The sequence below is a fragment of the Homo sapiens genome, chromosome 7, assembly GCF_000001405.40.
Source record: "Homo sapiens chromosome 7, GRCh38.p14 Primary Assembly".
Classification (NCBI taxonomy): Eukaryota; Metazoa; Chordata; class Mammalia; order Primates; family Hominidae; genus Homo; species Homo sapiens.
Window position 1 is genome coordinate 85,010,898 of NC_000007.14, and position 21,335 is coordinate 85,032,232.

Below are 21,335 nucleotides of genomic sequence, written 5' to 3' on the forward strand. Positions count from 1 at the left end.
AAGTGGCTGGGGACACTCCAATATTTAAAAGGTGAGATGAAAAGGAAAGTTAAGAACACTCAGAAGGCAGTCTGAAAGGTAAGAGGTTAACCAGAAGGATATGGTACAAGGGCACATAGGTATGCTGGAATATCATTTCTCTGAAAACAAAACAAAACAACAAATAACGTAATTTGTAGCGCTTGCTGATTTTGCTGTTGTAAATACTCCCACCATGTCTGATTCAAGCTTTCAGTGGTTTAAAATCAGCTCACAAAATTTCAAAATTTTAAGCAATCAACTTATATGAGGCCACATGAACTGGCTCTAGCACACAAATGCATGGAAGGCAAAAGAAAGTGTTTCAAAAAAGAGGGAGTTAGAGCTTAAGTAAAAATGAGAACCGAAAATTGGCCGTTGGATTTGGCAAGGAGGAAATTGCCGGTGACCTTGACAAGAATAGATTGGATAGACTGATGATGATGATTATTAGAAAAGACTGTGTGCAGTGGGTTATAGCATGAATAGGGTATGGTAAAGTGAAGACAAAAATTGTGGGTGCCTAAGGCAGCAACTACGTTTTGTATCAGTTTCTTTGTAAAATTTATCATTTGACATAGCATTTATTTTACTTGTTTTGGTATTTATTGTCTGCTCTCTCCCCCAACACACTCTTGAATATAAATATCGTGAATGCACAGATTCTTTTGTTGTTTTCTTTGTTGTTCATTGCTGTATCCTCAATACCTATAATCATCCCCGATAAATTTCATATTCATATGTAGATAATTGCATATGTATCGCACAGTAATGATTGCTAACTAAAATAACGGACATCACAATGAATCACCTACACATTAGAACAAGAAGCCAAGCACACTAATCTGGACCAAGGCTTATTTTTCAGAAGAATTAAGTTATAAGTTAAAAATAACTGTTTTGTTTTTAAATCAAGCAAACACTACCAGACCACCAGTTATAGATTATGAAATTTGGGTTATTTACATCACTGGTAGGGTGTTTAGTAACATTGTGATAAATGTGTTCTTCTTCCACCTGTTCGTGTGTGTGTGCATGTGTGTGTGTTTGGTGTGTGTGTGTGCATATATTTTCGATCTTAAGGCAGAGCTTGAGAGTGTAAAGTAGCTGCAGCTCTGGAATACATACTTTTATAGATTTGTTTTCTCTGTTCTCAGACTCACTCACCAGGCCTCCTCTCTTTTCCCCCACACTGGCCTTCTCCTTCTTTCAAGATCTTCTATTCTGTGATTAATTTTTCTAAACAATACAGCCTTTTGGTGATCTCTCTTTCACTAAACTCCCCTATCACTAATTATGCCTTATGACACTTCCCAAAAGATTCATAAGCTCTCTAAGGAGTTTCTTAGTCACATAGTATACCCAGGACAATTACATGCACATGGAAGTCGCTTAATAAATATTTATTGATTAAGTGAATATATGATTTGATAGGTGAATATAAATAAAGTATAGACTACCTAAAAACTTTTTTCTAATAAGACCTACACTTTTACCAGACTTCTGGGAGGTCTATTTGAGTTTACTCTAAATGTCCAAATGTTTTCTGTTATATCCTGTTTTATCTCTAATAGCAGTTTTCAAACTTTATAAGGATGGATAAGGTAGTAAAAAAGAAACAAAAGCTACAGTTTAGGAATTTTAAAAGACATATGAAACAAATAATGATATAACAAAGGATTATTCAATTAGGCACGTAGACAGGGGTTGATTTATAAAATTTCCTGTTGCTCTTCCAGAACACATGCATTACACAAAATGGAGATATTCTTATATAATAGATGGTTTAAGTCATATAATAAAAAGATACAAAGAGTGGGCTTAGCATTTTAAATGGGAGAAAAAGCATATCAGAGCTGTACTTACTGTCTTCGATGTCCCAGCACTGGGTGATTGGGTCGCCATATTTTACATCTTGGCGTCTAGCTCTCCTGCGGAAAGGGGATTAAACTTATTAGAACTTCAAGCATGATTACCATCATATAGAAAGGCTACATCTAATACTAATAACAGTGGCAGATGCAGTACTATGCTTGTCTTACAGTTCAACTTAAATGCAAGTCAATATTCCAATCAATCTAACATTGATTTAAAAAACTACTGGTAATGAGGTCCAAATAGAAGAAATCCTTTTCAGACAATGAGATGACATGAATTTTATTTAACTACGCTTCTTTTTCTCTATTTTTTTCACAAATTATTCAACAAAAAAGGTTAAATAAAAATACAACCTAGGTTTTATATAATTAAAATGAGGATAGCTACTCTCTTTAGGAACTCTCTTTTTAGTCAGTCATTGAGAAATAATAATATATAAAAGCGTTCAGTCAGTGGCTAGGAACATATACACAAATACAAAACACCTTGTCATGTAAAGATTCATTATTGCATAGATTTAATTAAGCAACAAACTAAATACTGTAACTTGAAATAGAATTATAAATTCAGTGTGGTATAAAAGACTACCTGTTATTTCTATCTGCTGATGAGTAGCTCAAATTGTTTTTCTCATAGTTATGATCATAATAATAATAATAAACAATGGCTTTTGTATCACATCACATATTTTCCTTAAAAGAAAGGAGTAATTATTTTATTAAAAAAAATCCCTGCTACATCTAAGCAGGTCTTACACTCTTACAGCATACTTTCATTTGCTTTGGCTATTTTATTTTGTCACTTCAGAGATCAGAAAAGTACCAGTAAATGTTCTGTGATATCTATAGTGTTCCTTGAGGGTAATGCTGAACAGATGACAACAGATGACAAGATTCATCCATTATACACATCTTTTGGCTCACATGACATTATGTTAGGTAAGGGAAAACATCACAGTGGCATGTCTGAAAGATCAGAGATACAGTCTTGGGAAATACAAGAAGAAAAAATTATGATGGTATAAGGTACATAGGTCAAGAATGTTTTTAAATCTTAGCTTCTTAAGGAACAGGGTCAATTCATCAAACTGAAGGTTTATTACCAACTAATGAGCATTCTTGTTTTTCAGCTTCTAGGAAAGCATTCCCCAAAGACTATAATGAGCAAGTTCTTGGCCAAAAACCATAACAAAATGTGGGTGACTTTTAACTTTTAATTTCTAATAATCATATGTACCCATTTCAATTTAATTCATGGATTTCAGGGAATATAAAATGTTTTCTAATTTTAAGTAATATTTGCTGTTGAACTATACATTCAATTTGTAATTTCCTAGAATTTAGAATTTGAGAAATCAATAAAATTCCAAAAAGAAAAAAGTGTACTTGTGGTAATGAGACTAGCATGTGCCTGTTAGTTTAAAAACAGACCTAAAAATAAATTTGCTTACATTTCACCTAGAGGAAAATATACTTCGAATACTTTAGAAAATAATGTTACTATAATCAACATTTTAAAATAATTAACATAGTATATTTAGCTAGCATCAGGCATATCGATGGGCATTCATATTGTTTCCAGTTATTTTGCTATAAAAATAATGCTGAAATAAACATTCTTGAACATATAACTTTGTTGTACTTTTGCACATGTGTATATAGAACAAATTCCTAGCTTGGAATTGTTGGCTCAAAATAGCATTATTTCTAAGAGCACATAAAGCAATGAACTACAAACAGCAAGGAAACCGTTTGTTGTTTAATTATATGAGTGGCAGAAATTGACCAAGTTATAATTATTAGAGTAAAAATAAAATTATACCAAGTCACTAGGCTGCACTGTGGGTTTCATACAATCTGTGCTTGTACAATCATATATATTTATATATTATTTGCAAAACAGTGGGCATCAGTATATACATATTTAGAAATAAGAAATAAGGAAGGAACAATTATAAAAAAGGCAAAATAGTGAATAAAAACAAACCTTTAATAGTGCTTGACATAAATGAAAGAAAAGAATATATAGAATTTATTAAAATTGTTTGAAGTTCCATATTTCAGAATTTCAGAGCATCTGTTTTACCCTCCTTCAAAATTAAGTTTTATGTAAAAATATAAAACAACATTTTGATTTTAATATTCCTTCCATAGGACATGTTAGTAATATATTTTCTCTTTAACTTAAACTATAAGACAAAGCATTAATGTGAGATATTCAGCTTGTAGAAAGGAAGCCTTTATATTAACTCCATGTGCCTCTTACCTTTTAGAAGTAGGAGCATATCGAGAGCATGCATTTCCATCCCAGGCACAGTAGGGGTCTCTGGCAAGACAACAGTCTGCGCAAGCTTTCCCATAAGTGTCGCATCTGTGCAAGGAGAGCTGAACCAATCCATCTCGGGAACCAATGTACAATTGTTGCTGCAAATCGGGCAAAACAAATGAATTAGAAGCATCTTTCAGACTAGTCTTAAGAATTTCCTTTTCTTGAATATCACATAATACATATAAATCTGTTTCTCTGGGTGTCCTGCCCATTGTAAACACTTGTACAGAAACATAATGAGGAGTAAAATAAGTCAATCATTTCTATCCTGGTTAGATGGTAGTTTGAAGATTTTGATGCTGAAATGGACAGCATTCTACAAGCTTGGCAGTAATTTCAGAAGGTCAAAAACCAGCTGCTAGACAGGAATTAAGATGTCAAATTCTTTCTCAATACTAGAAAATGTACTTTGAGAGATTATGTCCAGCACAGATGCTATAGGCAAAGCTCACGGTCTTCCCAAGACTTCCCATGGCTCCTTATATAAGAGACGACTGAAAATAAATTTATAAAGCATTCCCCTGATTTCAATTAACCATTTCATTTGTTATTAAAGTACTGATCCTTGAAAGAATGTGAGTTATTAGTGGGAGAGAAAGTATTTGTTATCACTCTGAAGAAAGTATTAAACAGGCTTGAGGGATGCTATATCACAAATGAAAGGCTGCATGATACTGAAAAACCCAGCAAACAAAATCACATTTTCAATATAAGTCCTGAAAGTAATGCATTACTTCCCTTATACATTCTTTTGAGTATCTGTGGTAGTAGCGGTGGAGGGGGAGGGGTGATACAAGTGAATAAGCCACAATCTGTGCCTTCAAAGAACTCATGGTCCACTCTAGTGGACCATTTCAAGAGTTAGAGGGGGGATATCTATGTTAGAAATAGGTATTGGCATAATAACATAGTACTCAACTTACAGAAATGGGTCTTACACCTTTAGCACCCATTAAACTGTCAGTTAAGACTTCCTAGTTGTTAAATGCAATGAACACTGTTTAGTATTTGTTTTACTGAAATTCTCTATACTGTTTGACACTAATGACTATATGTTCCTTGAAACTTTCTCTGCTTTCTATTCTCCCTCTTCATTTCGGATTAAGACATTTGTCTCCTTTGTGATTCCTTTTTTTTTTTTTTTTGCATTAAATGTTGGGTTTCCGTCTTTTTGCTTTATTTATTTACCTTTTATATTGTACAAAAGACTTAGATATATCTTGAAAACAATATAAGTATAAATGTAATAACCCCCCCTAAATCTACTCCTCCTGCCCTACCTTGGAGAGTAGCACTCTCATCCACCAAGTCATCCAAGACAGAAATCTGGGAGTTGTCTTTGAATCTTCTTTCTCTCACATTCAGTCTGTCATCACTTCATTTCCATTCTCTCATACAGAATTTTCTAATCTATTTCCTCCCCTCCCTTGCTACAGCCACTAACTTTGTTTCAGTCCTTATCACTTCTTTCCTGGATTACTTGTAAGTGTCCTATTTCTGCTGGCTTTGATTTTGTTTTCCAACAACCCCCATCTCTACCCCAGTACCCAGTCTATCTTCCACACTGCCACACCAGACTAATCTTTCTAAAAAGAAAATCTTATTATAACACCCTCCTTCTTAATCATAAATGTATTTTTGTTTGTTTGTTTTCCTTTTCAATGGCTTTTTTTTTTTTTTTTGAGCCAGGTTCTCACTATGTTGCCCAGACTGGACTTGAGCTCCTGGGCTCAAGGTATCCTCCCATTCTAGGCTCCTGAGTAGCTGCACTACAGGTGAGCATTATCCAAGCATCCAGGGGCTTTCATTGTTTTTAAGATATGCTGCTAAACTTCTTAGGAGGATATATAAAGATATATAAAGTTGTGCCTAATCTTGTTCTGTCTTACTTCTCCAGATTCATTTCTAGCCTTCCTGCCCTTTGAACACACATATGATCCATACTCTAATTGTACACAAACTTATTACAATAAGCTATAGTCTCTCACTCTTCACACTTTTGCAAAGATTCTCCCCTTCTGGTTGGCATATACTCCTCCATTCCATTCTCCTTTTAATATATCTGGTTAACTATGACATCCTTCATAATTCAAGCTGTATGTCTCTTCTTTCAGTTATCTTTCCCTGTTCCTTCTGGCTCCCTTTAGGCCACTTTCTTGTCTCTGTCTTTCTAGACTCTATTATTACTGTGCAGTGTAAGTGTCTTCCTTTGACACTCAGCTATACTGTGAGCTTCTGGAGGTTAATGGCGAGCTATGTTATTCATTCATTCATGTACCCTCCAAGCACCTTAGGCCTTCAAGAAATAAATGATAAGTGAATGAACAAATAAATGACAAAGCCCTGAAGAAGAAAACTATTTAGATAATTTCCTAAAAAAATCACTCTGCCATAGGAACAGTAATAGATTAAGTCAATTTTAGCAACACCTTGATGTTGAACATGTCATATGGCTTTCTTATATCTTGGGGGTGCAAATAGAAATAATAGTGCAGTTTGAATCTCTTGAAACAATTGTAATTTGGAATATCATATCAGAGAGTTATGAAATAATGTTAAAGATTATTACTATTATTATAATTAGTTACCATTTACTTTACACTTATGTGCCTGCTCTCTGTTTAGAATGTTGCATGAAGCATCCTCTTTAAACTCCCAACAAACTCTGGAGGTGGATATTGTTTTTCTAACTTTACTGTTGAGGAAATTGATTCTGAGAGTTCGATATTATGTGATATGTGGAAGGTTGGCTGTTGGGCTGCCACCACAGTTCATATTCTAACTCCTAGACCCCCAGATTAAAAACCCTTTGTAATGGTTAGGGTTGATATTCTACATGAATGTCTAATGGGCTTGATAGAATGACATTCTCATGAGACTAGGAAAGTGAGTTCAGTTTTTAAGATCCAAAGGAAGGGGAGAATGCATCATTCAATTAATAAAATTTGGCTCAATTTCTCCCAAGGCAAGGCTGAAACAATGGTCTCTAATGAATTACAAGAGAAACAAATAATGTTTTAAATTTCTTAAAATTTAACTCCCAATTTCAATGGATTTTTTTTCAAATAAAGTTTGATTCAAGCAGCCCATTGCTTTTGTGATTAACTTTCATACAAAAGTTAAAAAGTACCTGCTTCAGAGACAATTCCATGTTCAAGATGATTGATGAGTGCTGAAAATAGAAGTTAAATGTCAATAAAGATAATCATTAACAGGTTTTTATATTAAACAATATGTTGTTTTATCTGATGCCATATATCACTGAAGTAAACATCAAGTCTCTGTTACATAAGGAAATAAAGTTCTTATTGTTTGCTATTTTCTTCCAAAATGTAGTGATTGTACCTTAACAGAAATGATAAAAAGTTATTTTGTAGTATCTTATTAAAGATAAGTGACTTAAATGTATAAGAAAATACTCTGCATTGAAAATTGTTCCCAGTTACTCACAAGTGTTCTTCTTCTAAATCTGCTTATCTTAACTGCTTCCATATAAGTCAAACTAGTGTTGACAAGAACATCTCCATAATTATTTATTACCTCTTTCTGCTCTTACTTAGATCAGTGGTTCAAAAAGTTGTTTAAGTAGCAGAGTTTTGAGAAGTTATAGTGCTCCTTGTGGATGATCATATTCTTTACGGAACACTACACAATACTGGTGCACATGATTTCACAATATGAACTAAGGCTAGTTTTGTTTGTAAAAAAATATGGCTCAATGCATGCAAGATAAAATCAGAAACATGAACACAAAAGCTAACAAACTAAAAAGGACAAGATGGCTTAAAAAATTTTCCATCTACCTATCATCTATCTACTATTTATTCATTTAGCACCAGCTCATATTTGCTAATTGACAAGCAGTATTAGATGTTAAAGATTTAAAGAAATATATGAAAAAAAATTTCAGTGAGAAAGTTCTATCAAATAGCATTTTTGTTATCAATTTTAAAAACATGGCCAAACTTATCAAATTATATACATACAATATGTTCAGTTTTTTGTTTGTATCTCAATTATACCTCAATAAAGCTGATTTTACAATAAGAAAAGAAAACAAAAGCTGGTCATTTATGTAATTTTAACAGCAGAATCCAAGTAATTCTTCTTGACCACTGTCTAACACCATTGAACGAGACTTGTTCTAATGTGCTTATGTGTGTTATAGGCACTGTATTTTTGGCCTCTGGGTTCACACTTATGTTTGACATCTGGCCTTCCCCTAGGAACCACCCAAGATTTTGTTTTGGTAGACACCAGATAGCAGGTCTTGTTCTTGTTAACTCCTTGACCACTATTATCATCACAACATAAACAGGATCCTGTGGAACTCAGCATGTTAATTAACTTGAGCCCCTCACAGAGGAAGGCTTTATTCTCTTTTAAAGCATTATTTACATGGAAACAATCCATTTTAATAAACTGTCTCAATAAAAATGTTATAATAAACAAAGCATATTTTTAAAAAAGTTTTTCTGAGAAAAAAAGTATTTCAAATGTTACAATCAGCAAATAATTGTAAACTTAATTTTACTGAGGATTTACAAAGCATGCCACAATTGAGAGTTATTGTTAAAAGTCAAAGACATTCTCCAAATCTGGAGAACTATTCTTCTAGATCTACTAACTCTTTTTGCCGGGTGAGAGGAGTTTAGCATACATGAAGACTTACTATGATGCAACCTATATATTTTTTTAATTTCCTTACAGAAAAGCAGGGACACATGATTTATACACTGGTCTATTTTTCTCAAATTCAATTGGGGAAAAATTGAAAAGTAAAATTTATAAAGTAGAAAAGCATCTGGATAGTAAAAGAGACCCCAGGCTTTCATTTAATGTGGCAATTTGTCTGACTATATGCTTAGAGAATGCAGTAATGAGAGGCAATCCCGGGAGCCCTGAATTCAGCGGTATTCTACAGAGGAAGGTGAGTCCCATTCCTAGTCGCTTATAAAACTTTTTCCACTGCTTTGGGAAAAGAAAACTAAGAAAGCTAATTTCAAAGGCTTCTTCAGGTAACCTGATGATGTATTAAAACAAGGGTGCCCTATAACAAGCGCTACTCAGTTTCAACATCTTTTCTCCTGGCACTCTGGACTGAGTCTTACCTTGAATATCTGCAACTCCTCCAGCACTACCTCTTCCATATTCCACTTTTCCTTTGAAATGCTGACAACTTTGAGGACAGTTCCAATGTCTGAAAAAATGCATAACCCATGATCCCATTGTTTCTATCTCAAAAATTAGTGGTAAGCATATCCCTAGAAACCTGCAAATCATTCCCCTCACTTCTCTTTAAATGCCTTTCAAAAAACAGATTAAATGAAACATGCATGAACTGAAGCTTAATGTTTAAGTTTTGTCCTCCCAAAATATAGCTTTTAGCTAGTAGAACACCCATTTATAGAGAGAATGTTAAAGGATGCATATTCAGAGTATATTCTTAACAAAAGTAATATATAGATATATATGTATAATTTAAATATTGTTTGAAACGTTAATAGAGCAAACGTTTTGGACCTTAACTGAAAAAGTTAAAAATATATTAAAATAACAAATTCTCTCTCTTCCTTCCATGTAATATATATTTATTAAGTAGTTATTATATCCAATTCACCATGAAAGACAGATATATATTCTTTTAATAATGTTGTCAAATGAACAAAAAAATCATTGAAGCTATCTGAGGGAAATTGTAGCTCACTCTTCAAATGTATTCTATCTTCAGAATCCTTATTAATAGATGAGAAATGGAAGGTTTGTTTAAAATTATTTAAGTTCAACTTAATACAAGGTTGATAATGCAAACCAAAAATTGACATTTAAAAGAGGTATCTTAAATACATCATCTTACATTGAAATTAAATGAAGTGTCAGGTTAGTACAGAAAGAAAATTAAAAGAACAGTTTAGAAAAAGAAAAAAAAAATCCCACTTTAATTTATATAATATAGGCATTTTTAAACTTCTGAGCACTGGGGTTGGAGTATAGTAACGTATATAATAATGATCCTGTTCGCACAAAATAGTCTGAATTATTTAATTGTTTTTAAATAACTCTGGGATCTTTAAAGAATATTAAATGTACATTTTTCCAAATGTCAAAATTAAAAACCTATCTTAGCAGTCTATAATTTTCTCAGTAAAGGTTAGATATTACCACCTAGTGGCTAAATGACATTCATTGCAGTGAACTGTTGAACACCTAGTTTTGGGTGGACAGTACAAATTAAGCGTCAAACTTGTGGGAATTAATAGCAACTAATTAATTCTACTTTTGACCCTTCAACAGCCATCTCTTTTGTCTTGGGAATATCCCTTATTTTTCTGGTTTGTGGAATTGCCATCTTCAAAATAATCAGGTTTGACAATCAATGACAAAGGTCCTCTGATTCCGTCACACACATACTTCCTAATAAACCTAACTTCTATAAGATCCATAATTTTTAAAAATAAAATTATTCTAAAATTGTTTTGAACTCTTAAATATCTATTCTAATAAAAAGTCTTGTTTGTTGAAAATTCTTAATTTTTAATTCTTTATGAAATGCTTGATCCATTAAGTTATATAATATGATATGGAATACAGTGCTTTTGTTTTAATGATACATGTTATCTTTACTGCCAGTAGAATTCCCATGACATTATTAGCTAATACTTTTACTTTTTTTGAGATTAAGTTTTTCTTTTTATAAAAACATTTTAATCATTTTATAGTTACTGAGTTGACAGACAAAGAAAAAATACAATGGGCTTAAAATCTGAGTCTAGGAAATACATTTTAATGCACAAAATTCAAGAAGAAAGATAATCTCCAAGAAGTTTCTATTTAAAGGTCTTTACAAAGTAATGTTTAATGTTTCTGAAAATCTATCTTAAGTCAACTAAGTCAGTGATTCTCAAAATCAGGTGAAGGAATCTTTTGGGAATATACTTGCAAAGAGAGGGAAAGGCAAAGTTTGAAAATAAACATTACTTTGCCCTACTTGTTTAATTGTAGTTCAAAATCATTCAACAAATATGTATTGAGCATGTAATGTAGAGTAGACACATTGCTGTCAAATACATTTTGAAATCTCAGATTTGAAGTTGGGAGATATTTATGATTATCAATTAAAAGCTACATAATTTTAAGAAATGCTGACAAGGTTTTATCTAATAATTACTCATTTTTATTTTGACCAATAAATATTTTTGAAGTTGTTCTTCTCTTTGTCTAATAATGAAAAATTCCTTTTGAAAAAATCCTAATCTAGTTTTAGCTTACCTGTTCCAAGAAACATTACATCGTACTGGCCATCTTCTGCAATGACATGATCCACCACTATCTGTGTCAGTCTGTAATCCACATTGATTCTCTTGAACGTTGGTCCTCCTGCAACTGGGTATACGGACTTATACATCACAGAGTGCCGCTTTATGAAACTGATGACATCATCTGGAAAATCTCGGGTGGACTTAATCAGTGGGTCATAGGTTTTGCTTGGACACTGAAAATAAATGTGGAGGAAAGTAAAGACATTGTTTATGCACCTGAGAAGTTCACACTTATTTCCAATAAAATTTGTATAGCTTATCATCAATAATATTAAATGAATGGACAACAGAGTCAATATGGAATCATGTGTACTTGTAAATAAATGCAGCGTGCCTCTAATAAATTTAAACCCAGTTTTCTCCTTCAAAAATTTTCTAAATTACCTCTGCATTTTATAATGTTTCCATAGTGAATTCTTTTCTTATGAAGATTATTTCTTCTGAAGATTGTTTCTAATGAAGATATTTGAAATCTAACTTGAAATAACTGTTAAGAAACTGATCTATAAACATGAGAACACGTGGAAAGCCATTATTTTCAATTTCCTTTGAGTAATTTATAATTTCAGTTCAAATGAAACCATGTTTAATTAAAAAATAAAAAAGGAACAAACAGTTCACAAAAATTAATTTCAAAGTATTTAATAGTTTGAAATTGTAATTATGTAGTTTCTTTTATGATTAGTGTGAAAATTACACTTTGAACAATTCAACAGCTCTTCTCCTAAAGAGTCTGCAAAGAAACTGTTAGGGAATTTTATACTTCTTTCTAAAATTGCCTTATGTGCCTTTCAGCATCCACTAAATCAATAGTTAGCATGACCTGCCCCCTGGTGGTAAGAGTAAAAAGTTCAAAATGGTTCAAATCAAATGAATTTTATGTGCCTTTATCCAAAAATAAAGGGGAAAAAACACCTTATAATTAGACTTTTTTTTTCCAGAAAATATCACCTCTCCCACATCCTAAATCTATTTTATGTTTAAACATATTGCAATTTAGGAAGGTACCTCGTATAGAACGATTCTTTTATCACATTTGAATTCTCAATGGACTAATGCATTCTTTTGGAGAGGAAAACTTTAGTCAATTGATGCAGTCATAGAGAATAAAATGATTGACAGTAAGGACAGATTTTTTTAATGGTGCTTTTCTTTGTTTCAGTTTTTAGAGAAGTTGGAAACAGTCTCCATGGAACTGAACCATTTAAACTTGGCACTAATTAGAATCATGACAAGGCTCCAAAAACATAATGTACTTCTCAAAATATTCAAGAGGGTCATTCTTAGGGAGCTGAAGATACTAGAACTAGTCCCAATATTTGACTTTGACCCCAAATTTTATACCAATAAAATCATAATGGCTTATTATGAATTAGAAGAAATATCAAAGAGGTTGTACTAAAAGTCTGTTAATGTTTTTCTATAAATAATTTAAGAATATCTTTATCTTTAACAAAAATTTTCAATGTCTGGTATTAAGAAACTGATACTTTCTGGATATTTAGTTATTTGTCCCAGGTCTGTACCAGAGAGATTAGAAACGTCCTAGAATATTATCCACTTTGCATTTACTTAACATATTCTTAACTGGATGTTGGTCTAAAGATCTAAGTCTGCACGTTCAGTCATTATTTCCAGCACTTAACCTTCAGCCAAGCGGAATCCGTCAACTCAATAATGGAAGAACCTTGCATTAAATAGATTAAGCAGGGACTCAAAATGGATATGGAGCTCAAATGATACAAAGCTCTTGTCCAATTATAGGCTGCATGTTTGAGGCTCAGTCAAAGACAATTCATAGTAGGCTTATAATGCCTATGGTTCAATCTGGTTGGTGTATCATTAAAATCAAACCCAGAGCAAGATTTTGCCTGCACACAGTTTTTAAAAAGCCCTCCAACTTAAGAAAAAATCACTTTTGACTTTGCAGCTGTAGTTGTGCAGTAGCCAAAGTTTTCAAAGAAATAATATCATGACATTCAAGCCGTAGTTTTTGATATCAAATTGTTAAATAATTAGAAATTTTAATGCAAGAAAGTATAGCTGAATGAAAATATGAACACTTAGAAAAAATAAATATGAATTTTCCTCATTGCTCCGACAAAAATGGTTTAAGTGTAATAAAATCTAAGGCGGAAAAAAAGGAAGGAAAACCTGGTTTCTATTGACTATAAAATGATCTTTGAAAATATATATTTTTTCTTATGGCAGCTTTTCCTCATGGCATGTTGCCAGTGTTTGGACAAGATCTTTATCCTCTCAATTGCTATGCATGATATCTCAGGTCTGCGTCTCCACTATGCTTGCACAAATGAAAATGATTTGGTAGAGTTACTCTCTGAGGTTTAGGATAGTACAGTTTGAATCAAATATTGTTATTTCAGTACATTCAAACCAGTGGAATTTTTGCGTTGATATCATATAGCTGTGCTGCACACAGATCTAAAAATAATGAGATGCCAAGCAATGTATGTAGGTAAGAGTAAAGTAGGAAAGAAAAATTTCGTAAAAGAAAAGAGAAAGTGTAGGGAAATGATACATCTAAAGCGGATGGTCATTCATATTCAGTTATTTTCCTTTAACAAATTCTAGAAAATTCTCCTATGGCAGCTATACATCTCAGGTATTAGAAATCTAGTGGGTTTTTCTCCGTATGTATGTACTTTTAATTTCTAGGTATTAACACAGCCCACCTGAACATACCATACGGGGACATTTATTTCTGCCTCCAGTTTTCTTAATTTGCCAGATTAGCTCCTAGGAGAGTAGGAAATAAATCAGGAAACTTATCTGTGTCTCTACCCGCTGTTGTAAAATACTCAAAGACAGTATTCTTCTCTTGTGCTGGAAATATTAATACCAGCACAAAAGAAGAAGAGAAAATAGAACCTGCCTAGACACACCCTGAGATGAAAGTGGAAACCCAACAGCAACCAGCCCTGGTTCAGGGCCTATCTCCCATGGCTGGCTGCCATAGCTGGCTAGGTGTGATCATGTTATGCTTGGCAAGTCTGCGTGTTTGTCTAGGGCCTTTAGTAGTGGAATGGGAAGCAATGGATAAGAGGAGAAAAATGGTTTTTATCCAAAGAGAGAACTTTTCCCCTTGGCAAAGCCCCAGACAGCTGTCAAAGGTTTTTTCTCCCCGCAGCTTCAGGCTATTCTCTACAGGTTGCAGTTTCCTTTGAAACAAGTCAGAGGAATGACTAATGTGAGGGAAGACATGGCAAAAGAAAGACTGAACTAGGCTTTCATTTTCAGAAGCCTGAGTTTTATTTATAGAGTAAAAATGCAAATGTAACAGTTGCCGTCTTATACCCCTGCTTATTCATCGAAGAGTCAACCTACAACAGATAAAGGCAAGGAAAGACCCTGTATTAAATATCAGAGACAAAGAGGCCGGGGCAAACATACAGAGGTAATTTCTCTCCTTCCCTCTCCCTCTCCTTTTCTTTAAGGTTCCCTTTCTCTTAAAGGAATTTCTATGCCAGAAAAAGCAAAACACTATTGAACATAGTAAATAGCCTGGGATTTGAAGAACTTCATTTTAAAAGCAAATTGTTTGCCCTCTGGAAAATAAAGCTGAAAGCCAGTTGGGAAGGTTAATTCCTTTTGGAAGCCCCTTGACTATCTCCATTTTAGGGAAACATGGCCTACACACAGTTAAAGGGAAATGATAGTGATATTTTGTGATACGTGTCCTTTAGTGTAATCTGTTTTAGGAATCTGGACTCAGGATATCCAGAGTCTAGTCCTGCCTCTGCTTCTCCCTTCTAGAACCAACACCAGGAATGAATGAACAGAACTAGAGATATCCTCAGTAATTTAGAGAGATGATAAAGTAATTGTTATCCAATAAGTGGAAGGTGATGGAGTGAGCAAATATTAAAGAGAAAATAAAACTGTGAATTCAATATGATAGAGAGACATGAGTGAGCCACTGATGCCTATAATGAGATATCCCCAAAAGTTTTCCACAGATTTTGAATTAATTAGGAAAGACTTGCTTAAATGAAACAAACAATAGCAATAAGATGTTAGCTACATTCCTCAGGTACACAAATGGGAAGATAGTGTGAGACATTATGAGAGAATTCCTGCATCATACTCTGTAGTTTTCAGTCTCCTTTGGTAAGACTATCATAGTCTAACACTAGACAAATTAATAGAAAGTTCTGGATATTATTTTTGAATTACATTTTTTTCTTTGGTCAGTTACACCTATGTTTGAAAGTCAACTATAAAACATGTCTTTTAAAACTCTTACTTAATGGGATCAGCATAGTTTACAATTAAAATCTAATGTATGAGGTTAAGAAATACATATATTCTGAGAACCATCAGCTCCTTAGGAAAAGAGTGTATTTAGAATCATGCTAAAGCTCAAGTAAAATAGTTTAGGTGGGGCAGAAAGAGAAAACAGGGTAGCTAAAAAGTTTTGAACTTGTGGAATCCATGGTTACCTCAAACCCCTGCTGTTGAGAAGATTAAGCAAGGTAAAAATTGGAATTTCTAAGCAATATTCCAGTTCTAGTTGAAGAACACATTACATACTTCAAGTCCACTATGGAAACCCAATTGTTGATATTATGTATTATTATCCTATGATCTATCTTCTCCAAGATTTACTTCTGTAAAGCAAAATCAGAAACCAAGCTCAGGCATGGCAGTGATGCCTTGATATGTTAGAGTAAAAAAGATCTTTCTACAACCGAACGGTATGCCAGGGCCCAGAGCTGGTTCAGGGTAGTGCATTTGTAAGACGAATTTTTCAGTGGACCCAGAATCAAAAGAACTTTATAATTTTTCAATGACTCTTACAATGTTAGAAAGTCTAATGATTTAGTGGGAAATAAATGACTGTCAGACACATCTACACGTATATCTCAAGTTTGGAGGTTTTATCTTATAGCAAAAAGGGGGAACAATAAAGGCCCTACAGCAAAGAGAGGAAATTTTTAGCATTTGCCATTGATTTTCTCCAGTGAAAACCAATGTGAGTTGTACATATGGGGCTTTTTGTTAGACAAAGATTTGAAATCTTGCAGAGGGAGAGATATTTCATTATTTTACATTGGTGGTAGTTGAAAATATTTTTTTCTTAATAAAGTTTTACAGAATATTCTTAGTCAAGTTTTGTTAACCAAGATTTATAGGATATTTTATTTTACTTTATTTTCTCACTAAAAGGACATATTATATTCAGAAGTAAAACCATGGAAGACAGGAAGAAGGAGGTTAGCTTAGTGTTTTTGATGTTTTATGCGGCTTAATGTTTGTTTTCCCAACATAAAAGGAATATTAAACAAGGGTCTCATTGAACACAGCAGCAGCTTTTGGGGTTCTGTGTCTCACTTTGAAATCTGAGCTGACCATGCACACAAACATCTGTGTCTAAGTGACCTGCAATTGGTATTGATCTTGGCACCACCTACTATTATATGGGTGTTTTCCAGCAAGGAAAAGTAGAGATAATTGCCAATGATCAGGGAAACCGAACCATGCCAAACTATGTCACCTTTACGGATACCAAACAATTGATTAGTGATACTCCAAATAATCAAGTTCCAATGAACCGTGCCAGCATGGCTTTTGATGCCAAATGTCTGACTGGATGCAGATTTGATGATGCCATTGTCCAGTTTGATATGACATATTGGCCTTTCACGGTGGTAAATGATGCTGGCAGGCCCAAGGTCCAAGTAGAGTATGAGAGAGACAAAAAGCTGCTACCCATAGGAGGTGTCTTCTATGGTTCTGACAAAGATGAAGGAAATTGCAAAAGTCTACCTTGGGAAGACTGTTACCAATGCTGTGGTCACAGTGCCAGCTTACTTGAATGACTCTCAGCATCAGGGCTATCAAAGATGCTGGAACTATTGCTGGTCTCAATGTACTTGGAATTATCAATGTGCCAATTGTCGCTGCTATTGCTTACAGTTTAGACAAAAAAAAAAAAAAAAAAAGGTTGGAGCTGAAAGAAATGTGCTAATCTTTGACCTGGGAGGTGGTGTTTTTGATCCTCACTATGGAGGATGGAATCTCTGAGGTGAAATCTACAGCCAGAGACACCTACTTAGGTGGAGAGGACTTTCACAACTGAAATGTCAACCATTTTACTGGTGAGTTATAGTGCACACATGGAAGGACACCGTGAGAACAAGAGAGCTGTCTGGCACCTCTATACTGCTTGTGAACTTGCTAAACATACTCTTCCAGCACTGAAACCAGTACTGAGGTCAATTCTCTTCATGAAGGAATCCACTTCTATATCTCCATTAATTGTGCCCAATTTGGAGAATTGAATGCTGAGCCTGTTCTGTGGCATTCTGGACCCCATAGAGAAATCCATTTGAGATGTCAAACTAGACAAACCACAGATTCCTGATATTGTCCTGGTTGGTGGTCCTAATTGTATCCCCAAGATTTAGTAGCTTCTCCAAGGCATCTTCAATGGAAAATAGCTGAATGAGAGCATCAACCCTCATGAAGCTGTTGCTTATGATGCAGCTGTCCAGGCAGCCGTCCTATCTAGAGACATCTCAAAATGTTCAAGATTTTCTGTTTTTGGATGTCACTCCTCTTTCCCTTGATATTAAAACTGCTGATGGAGTCATGGCTGTCCTCATCAAGTGTGATGCTACCATTCCTACCAGGCAGACACAGACCTTCACTACCTACTCTGACAAGCCTAGCATGTCATTGCCAAGGATAAAAACCTACTTCGCAAGTTTGAGCTCACAGGCGTACCTCCTGCACACCATGGTGCTCATCAGATTGAAGTCACCTTTGATATTAATGCCAAGGGCATCCTCAATGTCTACTCTCACTGATGACAAGGGCCATTTGAGCAAGGAAGACATTGAGCCTATGGTCCAGGAAACTGAGAAGTACAAAGCTGAAGATGAGAAGCAGAGGGACAAGGTGTCATCCAAGAATTCACTTGATCCCTATGTGTTCAACATGAAAGCAACTGCTGAAGATGAGAAACTTCAAGTCAAGATTAACAATGAGCACAAACAGAAGATTCTTAGCAAGTGCCATGAAATTATCAACTGGCTCGACAAGAATCAGACTGCAGAGAAGGAAGAATTTGAACATGCACAGCAAGAGCTGGAGAAGTCTTCAAGTCCATGATAACCAAACTGGACTAGAGTGCAGAAGGCATGCTAGGAGGAATGCCAGGGGGATTTCCTGGTGGTAGAGCTCCTGCATCTGGTGGTGCTTTTCAGGGCCCACCACTGAAGAGGTTGATTAAGACAACCCAACTATAGATGTAGCATTCTTCTACATAGTTAAAACACCGAAGAACCCAAATTTGTATCAAATTCTATGGCAGTTTTACGGTCGAGCTGCTATACTAAATTACTGGGCATTCTCAATACTTGAATATGGAACATGAGCACAAGGAAAGGAAATAACATTGCACTTTATAAACATTGTATTGTAAGTGGAAAATGCAATGTCTTAAATAAAACTGTATTTAAAGTTGGTATCAAAAAAAGATTAAACAAAAGAAAACTAACCACAACCTCCACCCCTGAATAAAAAAAAAGATTTTGAGCTGAAAATGAGCATTTATTTAATGTCTCTAGTGTTGGACAGTGGAAGAGGCAATGCTGGCGTGAGAAGTCCAGTCTCTAGGTACTCTACCCAGGATGCTTCTTACCATGTTATGATGTTCCTTAAATATGGCTTTGTTTCAAATTTTTGAACCAAAAAATTTTCAGGAATCCTTAGAATCACCATTTTTCACCACCTATTTTTTTTTTTTGAAACTACCTAGATAAAAAAAAGTAAAAAGAACAGGCTTTTCTGGTGTTTGAGCTATTAATAAAAATTATCATGCATTTATGTTCATCAGTGTCCACATAGTAAAATGAATTTATGAAATATTTAAAAAGTACCTATAACTACCTCCTTTTATTTCCCACCAAAAAATGGAGACTTAGTTGGGAAATCCACGTGTAAGCTTTCATCTGTAAAAGTAAAACTAAAACAACTAACATTTAACGCGGTAACAATTTGGGAGCAAATGGAATTTAAAAAGGAATCATTATTTTTACAAAATCAGACATTTAGTAGTTATTTAAAAATGGTGGCAAAATGATTCAAGCAAAGTAAAACATGCATTTTATATTTGAACTTCAAAAACAAGTATTTTCTCCTCACCTTTTTGATAAGGGAATGGTTTAAAACTGAAACTCACTTTTGAGGAAATATTTACTAATACTTTACACTTATGCATAAATCTTAAAAATCCCTTGGCTACACAGAATAAAACTGCAGAGTACATCAGTTATAAAAAACCAACTATCAAGTTGGAAATTTTCTGCCTTTACAAATCTTTCTTAGATTCTGGGTTTTCTAGCAGTCTGTTATTTTGGGCTGGATTCAATTTGGTTTCTATATCTGACCTGTATGATTGATTCACTGTATTATGGACTTTTTAATATTTTATTTCACTTGGAACTTCTTATTACCAAAACCTGGCAGGGCAATAATGATTGAAAAAATCCACCTGAACAAAATATGGCTTGTTCAAATATTCTATTTGGACACCAGAGGGCAGAAGAATCATTTGAAGTGAAGGAATTCTATAATATATCCTTTTGCATTCTTGCTTTTCTAGGCTTATTAACATTGCAGAGCAGTGATGTCATGGTTAAGCTAGGAGTTTAGGTTTGACTTTTTGTCAAAGAAGTACAGCATTCTGTCAAAACCAAAAACTTAAAGTAAGCTTGACACACTGAAAGTTGTAGTGTTTATTTAACTGAGTGATAATGTCAACAGAAGTCTCACCACTGGGAGAACAACTTAGAATTCAATCTTAATAGCAATACAGATGCAGAAAATGTAAAAACAATTTTTTAAAAAATAACCTACGTTAAAGCTTTAACTTAAGTGTAATATGGCTTTTAGTAAAGGTTCTAACAATTTCATAGAAAGCAAAGTATTCAGCAATACTTTTATTAAAGTAAGATGTGTTCCTCTGAATTGCAGTAAGAGAAATGGTAAGTGTAGTAAAGTTTCAAAATTCATTATTACTTGTGCAGAGAATAGACAAATCTCTGGAAAAATAGCATAAAGTTCTGTTTGGTTGCTCATTTGTTATCCCTTTGAAGGTAGAACAAAAGGTAGGTTAATGGCTTTTGATTTGGAGTTAAGTAGAGTAAGTTTCATTCCAGTCATAACAATTCATAAACTGTGAGAGCATGAACATATGTTTACCTTCGCTGGGCTTGTTTCTTATCTATAAAATTGGGATAATAATACCTACTCTGTGTGTTTATTTTAAGAATGTAGTGAGATAACGTATACGGGCTTATCAGAGTGTCTGGATCATAAGAAGTGTTCAGTAATGAGTTTGATCAAAATATTCTGGATATTTAGAGAGATAGAATCATAACTTTATATAAACAAAAATTACTGAAATTGGGCTGCTTTTAGAAAACAAATAAGAAAGAATGCCAGGAAATAATGTAAAATTCAATGCAGCTAATTTTAGGTGGGACATTCGGCAGTATATCAATCAGATAAATATTAGGAAATAAGTGCATATTACAGAATATTAACGAATAGAGAGAGAAGACTGATCAGAAAATTCAACATCCCTCTTCATTCCACTGTTTTTGGCAATATGATATTGGGAAAGTTATTTAATTATTCTGGGTATTCATTCCCTTCCCTGTAAAATGAGGGTGAATTACGTGGTCTTTATCATTCACTCCAGTTCTTACATTCTCAAATTTTACAGGCATAGTTTATCTGATACGCTGTGAAATATAATTTCAA

General features: G+C 33.9%; 1 protein-coding gene and 1 pseudogene across 7 annotated transcripts in view, besides 1 other annotated feature; one reads left to right on the forward strand and one right to left on the reverse strand.

Moving 5' to 3' along the window:
• SEMA3D (semaphorin 3D) overlaps positions 1-21,335 on the reverse strand; it is a 254,691-nt gene that overhangs the window by 15,345 nt on the left and 218,011 nt on the right. For all 7 annotated transcript variants that reach the window (NM_001384901.1, NM_001384903.1, NM_001384902.1 and 4 more), the window contains 5 exons: positions 11,494-11,716; positions 9,336-9,424; positions 7,355-7,396; positions 4,162-4,319; positions 1,885-1,949 (listed from right to left, as the gene is read on the reverse strand). In NM_001384901.1, the coding sequence (NP_001371830.1) occupies positions 1,885-1,949; positions 4,162-4,319; positions 7,355-7,396; positions 9,336-9,424; positions 11,494-11,716 (577 nt within the window). The remainder of the gene's footprint in view (positions 1-1,884; positions 1,950-4,161; positions 4,320-7,354; positions 7,397-9,335; positions 9,425-11,493; positions 11,717-21,335) is intronic.
• Positions 7,616-7,910: a silencer, noted in NCBI's record as "tiled region #13705; HepG2 Repressive non-DNase unmatched - State 24:Quies". NCBI's record gives its function as "represses a minimal TATA promoter and a strong SV40 promoter by Sharpr-MPRA in HepG2 cells {active_cell/tissue: HepG2}" and the evidence as "EXISTENCE:reporter gene assay evidence [ECO:0000049][PMID:27701403]".
• Positions 16,854-19,043, forward strand: HSPA8P16 (heat shock protein family A (Hsp70) member 8 pseudogene 16; annotated as a pseudogene).